This window comes from Homo sapiens, chromosome 12, assembly GCF_000001405.40.
Source record: "Homo sapiens chromosome 12, GRCh38.p14 Primary Assembly".
NCBI lineage: Eukaryota > Metazoa > Chordata > Mammalia > Primates > Hominidae > Homo > Homo sapiens.
Window position 1 is genome coordinate 20085703 of NC_000012.12, and position 8693 is coordinate 20094395.

An 8693-nucleotide genomic window follows, 5' to 3' on the forward strand; every position below is an offset into this window, starting at 1 on the left:
CTCTCCAACCTCATGAGATGGCCTGAGGTTCTGATGGTCTTTCTGCCTCTTTAGCAGGGGCAGCTTCTTGGCCTTTTCCCTGAATCTTCAGCCTCTTGCTCTATGCACAAAACTAACAAGTGCTCTAAGGGGGAAAACAAAACAAAACAACAACAACAACAACACTCAGCTGTGAATTGTCCACTTGGCTCCCCAAGCCATTTGTCCTTCCCAAGACCTCGAACTTTCATGTCCTGTTTGCCCTTGGCAGCAGTCTGATGGCCACAGGCTTATTCTACTGCTTGGCTATCTAGTTGTGTTCAGCAGAGGCTTTGGTTTAATGCAAGATGCTCCATCATGCCCTATTATGAATCTTTGCATTCCAGAGAAAACAGCATCAAACAATTCAAAGCAGCAATATATAGAACAACAAACAATTCAAAGCTGCAATATATAGAAACAATAATAGTAGGAGATTTATAACTCACCTCACATGACAGGCAAATGAAATAAGAATATAGTGGATCAAAATAATGGAATTAATTAAATGGAACTCATAGATGTACATTTGGCTATATTTCAAAATAACAGTATTTTAGTCAGGGTTCTCCAGAGAAGCATATATATAGCTATACACACACACAATCTCCAGGTATTTTGGAGAATACACAATACTGCAGTATTTTGTTACAGCAGCCTGTGTGAACTAAGACAATGAAGAAAAGTTAGCAAAAGATGAAGCAATTTCCTAACCATTTAAAATTTCAAAATATAATAATAAGTTTGTAACTTTTTTCATTTATTATACCTAAACAAATTTCAAGTAGATCCAATATTTAAAGAAAATTTGAAAATCACCAAAAAAGAGCATAGAATATTATTTATAAGTGTAAAAATCATTACTATGCATCATGAAATAATCAGGAAAGGAAAAGATGGATGCCTTGACTATTAAAAATTGTAAACTGTTCAATTGTAAAAATTATAAACAAAGTCAAAGCAAAATGACAAAATGGGAACAGTTATGTACAGCACATATGATGAACAAAAAGCTAATTTTACTTAATATACACAAAACTGAAAAAATTAACAATCATCCATAAAATGGTAAAAAAAAATGTATGAACAGATATTTCACCAAAAAGGGAAAGAAATACTAACAGTCAAAAAACATATAAAAGAATTTTTTTTTAGTCTAGATTTTTTAAAAAACTAAACAAGAATATATTATGATGCTCAAACACTTAAAAATTAAATAAAATAATTCAACTTTTTAGAGAGCAGTTTGCCAAAATTACTCAAAATTAAAGGCATATATTATTTGACTCAGAGATTTCCCTTCTAAGAATTTATCATGCAGATATATTCCCAGAGATTTCCCTTCTAATAACTTATTACACAGAACTATTCCCGTAATTCTACAAAGTGTATTCAAATATTCCAATTACAGAGTCATGTGAAATAGCAAATGAATAAGCAACTTACATATCTACCAATAAGAGACTGGTTAATAAATAATAGTATATTTATTAATAGAATGTCATGCAGTCAGTAAAAGGAATGAGAAATGAGTCACTGAAGAAAACTATCAAAGCTAAATTGTTAATAAAAAAAGCAAGTTGCAGAAAAATTTGTATACATGTTTTCGTTTTTTCTTTTGGCAACAAAAATAAAAAAACCTTATTAGGCTTATATGTGCATAGACATTTCCTGAAAACAAGCATGAAAAATGGTAAACACTGCTTTTTGGAGACTGAGCTTTGGGGTTCAATAGTGGAGGACAATATCTTCTTTTGTACTTTGCGTTATTCTATAGCATTTGAAATTTTCTAAAACACATATTTACTTTTATGATTAACTTTTCAAACTATCTTAAAATGATATGGTAATGCTAAGTTTCAAGTTTTATGCTAATTTTAATCAATAATTTATTCCTTTCATCATTATCCTTGCTTTAAAAGAAATCTCAGCGCTCCCCACATGTGTGAAAAATTTCTGATTTAAAAAACATGAAAATCAAATGATGTAAATGGAGAAGTGCCTTTAAAATTTTAAGGGAAGAAAAAGAGATATGTTGATTTTATTTAAGTTTACACACATTGCTAGACAGTTTTTAAATAACTGGATGACATTAGGGCTTGCTTGTTATTGCCATGTCTAAGACCACCTAAAAGATTAGAGCCTTCTGAGAGCTAAGCACCAGCAACTAAGGTCCTTAGTAAACTGAGGGTTCCAGTAGATAACTCTTGTCTTTATTGGAGTCCTAGCTATGAGGCTAAGCTTTTTACTTATTATTTTTCATTTATTTAACCAATAAGCATTCAGAGCTTGCTTGTGTAATATATTAATACTAGGCCAGACACTGGGTATATAGTGCTGAATATTAATAAAGGTGTCTACATTAAGATCTCTGACAAAGTCTACAAAAATAAACAATGGGGAAGGATACCCTATTTAATAAATGGTGCTGGGAAAACTGGCTAGTCATATGCAGAATGAAACTGGACCCCTACTTCTCACCATATACAAAAATTAACTCAAGGTAGATTAAAGACTTACGTGTAAGACCTCAGAATATAAAAATCCTAGAAAAAAAAAAAACAGGAAAAACTCTTCTGGACATTGGCCTAAGCAAGGAATTTATGACTAAGACCTCAAAAGTAAATGCAACAAATATAAAAGTTGACAATTGAGACCTAATTAAACTGAAGACCTAATTAAACTGAAGTTATTAGAAGGGAAATCTCTGGGAATATATCTGCATGATAAATTCTTAGAAGGGAAATCTCTGAGTCAAATAATATATGCCTTAATTTTGAGTAATTTTGGCAAACTGCTCTCTAAAAAGTTGAATTATTTTATTTAATTTTTAAGTGTTTGAGCATCATAATATATTCTTGTTTAGTTTTTTTAAAAATCTAGACTAAAAAAATTCTTTTATATGTTTTTTGACTGTCAGTATTTCTTTCCCTTTTTGGTGAAATATCTGTTCATACATTCTTTTTTTACCATTTTATGGATGATTGTTCATTTTTTCAGTTTTGCGTATAGTAAGTAAAATTAGCTTTTTGTTCATCATATGTTGCACAGCCAAAGAAACTATCAACAGACTAAACAGACAACCTAAAGAATGGGAGAAAATATTTGCAAACTATATATCTGACAAAGGTCAAATATCCAGAATCTATAAGGAACATAACAAATCAACAACAACAACAACAAAAACAAATAACCTCACTACAAAGGGGGCAAAGAACATGAACAGACACTTCTTCAAAAGAAGATATACAAATAGCCAACAAACATGAAAAATTCTCAACATCACTAATCATCAGAGAAATGCAAATCAAAACTACCATGAGATATCATCTCACACCAGTCAGAATGGCTATTACTAAAATGCCAAAAATTAACAGATGTTGGCGAGGATGTGAAGAAAAAGGAATGCTTATACACTGTTTCTGGGAATGTAAATTAGTTCAGTCCCTGTAGAAAGCAGTTTGGGGATTTCTCAAAGAACTGAAAATAGATCTACCATTTGACTCAGCAATCCCATTTCTGGTTATCTACCCAAAGCAAAATGAATTGTTCTATCAAAAAGACACCTACACTCAGCTGGGCGTGGTGGTTCACACCTGTAATCCCAGCTGTTTGGGAGGCCAAGGTGGGTGGATCACGAGGTCAGGAGTTTGAGACAAGTCTGACCAACATGGTGAAATCCCTTCTCTACTAAAAATACAAAAATTAGCTGGGCGTGGTGATGCGCGTCTGTAATCCCAGCTACTCAGAAGGCTGAGGCAGGAGAATCGCTTGAACCCAGGAGGAGGTTGCAGTGATCCGAGATCGCACCACAGCACTCCAGCCTGGGTAACAGAGCAAGACTCCATCCCCCATGCCCCCTCCAAAAAAAAGACACCTACACTCATATGTTCATTGCAGCACTATTCAAAATAGCAAAGTCATGAACTCAACCTAGATGCCGATGAATGGTTGACTGGATAAAGAAATGTAGTACATATACACTATGGAATAGCCATAAAAATCATGTCCTTTGCAGCAACATGGATGCAGCCAGAGGCCATTATACTAAGTTAATCAACACAGAAACAGAAAATAAAATACTGTCCAGTTATAAGTGGGAGCTAAACAATGGGTACACACTGACATAGAGATGGAAACAGTAGACACTGGGGACTCCGAAAGAGGCAGGGACGGTGGAGAGAAAGGGTTGCAAAACTACCTGTTGGTTACTATGTTTACTGTTTGGGTGATGGGTACAACAGAAGCCCAATCCCAAACATTATGGAATATATCCATGTAACAAATGTGCTTATGTATCCCCGAGTCTAAAATCAATCAAACAAAAAAGAAAACAAAAACGTTAAGCATAGTACTAAGCATATTTCATATATTATCTTATGTCTTCTCATAATGATTCTGTGATATGGATTCTATTTTTACACTTTTTAACAAAAAAAAATTAGGGCTGAGACAGGTTGTGTAGGTTGCTCATGATTACATAGTTAATAAGTGATGATCTTGGAGTTTGACATCAAATTCCAGAACATGTGCCTCTAAATATTATTCTGCACTGTCTTCAAAAGTGCAAGTAATCTCCCTGAGTAAGAGATGTGGCCTAGAGAGTACATGTGCACAGGATACTAAGGAATGTACAGGAAGGGGAGTATGCACAGGATAGTAAAGGGTGTACAGGTTGGTGAGTTTGCAGAGGATAGTAAGGGATGTACAGATTGGTGAGTTTGCACAGGATGGTAAGGGATACACAGGAAGGTGGGTTTGCACAGGATAGTAAGGGATGCATAGGATGGTGGGTTTGCACAGGGTACTAAGGGATGTACAGGAACGTGAGTTTGCACACGATATTAAGGGATGCACAGGTTGGTGAGTTTGCACAGGATAGTAAGGGGTGTACAGGCTGGTGGGTTTGCACAGGATAGTAAGGGGTGTACAGGCTGGTGAGTTTGCAGAGGATAGTAAGGGATGTACAGATTGGTGAGTTTGCACAGGACGGTAAGGGACACACAGGAAGGTGGGTTTGCACAGGTTAGTAAGGGATGTACAGGTTGGTGAGTTTGCACAGGATTGTAAGGGATGTACAGGAAGGTGAGTATGCACAGGATAGTAAAGGACGTACAGGTTGGTGAGTTTGCAGAGGATAGTGAGGGATGTACAGATTGGTGAGTTTGCACAGGACGGTAAGGGACACACAGGAAGGTGGGTTTGCACAGGATAGTAAGGGGTGTACAGGATGGTGAGTATGCACAGGATAGTAAGGGATGTACAGGATGGTGAGTTTGCACAGGATAGTAAAGGATGCACAGATTGGTGAGTTTGCAGAGGATAGTAAGGGATGTACAGATTGGTGAGTTTGTGTAGGATACTAAGGGATGTACAGGATGGTGGGTTTGCACAGGATAGTAAGGGACATGCAGGAAGGTGGGTTTGCACAGGATGGTAAGGGAGATGTACAGGATGGTGGGTTTGCACAGTATAGTAAGGGACGTACAGGATGGTGAGTATGCACAGCATAGTAAGGGATGTGCAGAAAGGTGGGTTGGCACAGGATAGTAACGGATGTGTAGGATGGTGGGTTTGCACAGGATAGTAAGGGGTGTACAGGATGGTGGGTTTGCACAGGATAGTAAGGGATGTGTAGGATTGTGAGTTTGCACAGGATAGTAAGGGGTGTACAGGATGGTGATTATGCACAGGATACTAAGGGATGTCCTGGAAGGTGAGTTTACACAGGATAGTAAGGGATATACAGGATGGTGAGTATGCACATCATAGTAAGGGACGTTATCTCCCTAAGTGGCAGAGGTCACATAGTCGTATGCACTGAAACCCATTTCCTTGGCCTTCAGAGCTCATAGCTAAACACCATTTCTCAACCTCCTGTACAGTTAAATGGGGCCAACAGAATGTGGGCAAAATTGACAAACTCCCCTTCAATCCCTGGTGCTACCTCTCTCCTGTGACCCTCCACACGTTTTTCCCTCATATCCCTGCTGCATACAGCAGATACAGTCCAGGAATCTGAGGGCTTGGAAAGTGATGGAGCCACTTCATTAGAAGAGGCTGGGCCCTGCATCCCCACTAGGAAGTCTGCCCCTACAAACCTGAGCTGAGCTAATTGGACTGTGTATGACTCTGAAATAAACTTTTTTTAGTGTGTGATAAACCTCTGAGATTTTTGTGGTGTTAGGGCAATTAGCATACCTGACAAATTAAACGCTATTATTTAAGCTGCGTCTTGAGGCATGAGATGGAAGTATTATGTGAATGGGTGTTTTAAAGAGAGGAAACAGCGTGTGCAAAAGATCTGAGGCAGGAAGGAAACCACCATGTACAATAAGCTGAAAGTTGCCAGTGTGCCTGAAACTTTAGTGAGTGAGGGTGATGAGGCTGGAAAGAGAGGGTTGCTGCCTGACCAGGCAGGTCTTTGCAGATCATAAGAGTGAGAAATTTATTCAAACGCAATGGAAAGAGATTAAGGAATCATGGTGGATGGGAGGCAGGACTAGATTGCAGCTGTGGACAGAGCAGCATGCAGAGGCGTGCATTGTGAATTTTAGCTGCAGATTGACTGCAAGAACAAACCAGCAATCCCAAGAGAACCCACAGACCCTCTGAAGGAAGTGGACTGCTCCTGCAAGACCCGCTCTCAAGGTGGCACATCTGGAGTTGTTCGTTCCTCCCAGTGGGTTCGTGGTCTCACTGGCTTCAGGGGTGAAGCTGCAGACCTTCGCAGTGTTACAGCTCATAAAGGCAGTGTGGACCCAAAGAGTGAGCAGTAGCAAGATTTATTGCAAAGAGCGCAAGAACAAAGCTTCCACAGTGTGGAAGGGGACACCAGTTGGTTGCCACTGCTGGCTTGGGCAGCCTGCTTTTATTTTCTTATCTGGCCCCACCCACATCCTGCTGATTGGTCCATTTTACAGAGAGCCAATTGGTCTGTTTTATAGAGAGCCGATTGGTCCATTTTGACAGGGTGCTGATTGGTGTGTTTAGAATCCCTGAGCTAGACACAAAAGTTCTCCAGGTCCCCACTAGATCAGCTAGATACAGAGTGTTGATTGGTGTATTTACAAAACCTGAGCTAGACACAGAGTGCTGATTGGTGCATTTACAAAGCTTGAGCTAGATACAGAGTGCTGATTGGTGCGTTCACAATCCCTTAGCTAGACATGAAGGTTCTCCAAGTCCCCACCAGATTAACTAGATACAGAGTGCAGATTGGTGCATTCACAAACCCTGAGCTAGATACAGGGTGCAGATTGGTGTGTTTACAAACCCTGAGCTAGATACAGAGTGCCGATTGGTGTATTCACAATCCTTTAGCTAGACATAAAGGTTCTCCAAGTCCCCACCAGATTAACTAGATACAGAATGGCGATTGGTGCATTCACAAACCCTGAGCTAGACACAGGGTGCTGAATGGTGTGTTTACAAACCTTGAGCTAGATACAGAGTGCTGACTGGTGTATTTACAATCCCTTAGCTAGACATAAAGATTCTCCAAGTCCCCACCAGACTTAGGAGCCCAGCTGGCTTCGCCCAGTGGATCTCGCACCAGGGCCATAGGTGGAGCTGCCTGCCAGTCCCGAGCTGTGCACCCGCACTCCTCAGCCCTTGGACGGTTGATGGGACCGGGCACCGTGGAGCAGGGGGCGGCACTCGTTGGGGAGACTCGGGTTGTGCAGGAGCCCACGGCGGCTGGCGGTGGGGAGGCTCAGGCATGGCAGGCTGCAGGTCCCAAGCCCTGCCCCGCGGGGAGGCAGCTAAGGCCTGGCGAGAAATCGAGCACAGCAGCTGCTGGCCCAGGTGCTAAGCCCCTCACTGCCCGCTGGCCGCTCCGAGTGTGGGGCCGCTGAGCCCACGCCCACCCAGAACTTGCTCTGGCCCGCAAGCAGGTGCAGCCCTGGTTCCCGCCTGCGCCTCTCCCTCCACACCTCCCGGCAAGCTGAGGGAGCCGGCTCTGGCCTTGGCCAGCCCAGAAAGGGGCTCCCACAGTGCAGTGGCGGGCTGAAGGGCTCCTCAAGCACCACCAGAGTGGGCGCCAAGGCCAAGGAGGCGCCGAGAGCCAGCGAGGGCTGTGAGGGCTGCCAGCACGCTGTCACCTCTTAAAACTATACTATAAGGCCATAGTCACCAAAACAGCATGGTACTGATATAAAAAGAGGCACATAGACCGATGGAACAGAATAGAGAACTCAGAAATAAACCCAAATGCTTACAGACAACTGATCTTCAACAAAGCAAACAAAAGCATAAAGTGGGGAAAGGACACCCTTTTCACCAAATGATGCTGGGATAATTGACAAGCCACATGTAGGAGAATGAAACTGGATCCTCATCTCTCACCTTATACAAAAATCAACTCAAGATGGATTAAGGACTTAAACCTAAGACTTGAAACTATAAAATTTCTAGAAGATAACATTGGAGAAACCTTTCTAGACATTGGCTTAGGGAAGAGTGTGAGGGGGATGAGGGATAAAGACTACAAATATGGTGCAGTGTATACTGCTCGGGTGAGGGATGCACCAAAATCTCACAAATCGCTATTGAAGAACTTACTCATGTAACCAAATACTACCTGTATCCCAATACCCCAATAGCTTACAGAAAAATAAAAAAATAAAAACAAATGCAATGAAAAGCCATCAGTATGTTTTACGCAGGGAAGTGTC

General features: G+C 40.8%; 1 long non-coding RNA gene across 1 annotated transcript in view; it reads left to right on the forward strand.

Moving 5' to 3' along the window:
- Positions 1-8693, forward strand: part of LINC02398 (long intergenic non-protein coding RNA 2398) — an 84184-nt gene that overhangs the window by 71018 nt on the left and 4473 nt on the right. The gene's annotated exons all lie outside the window — the stretch shown is intronic.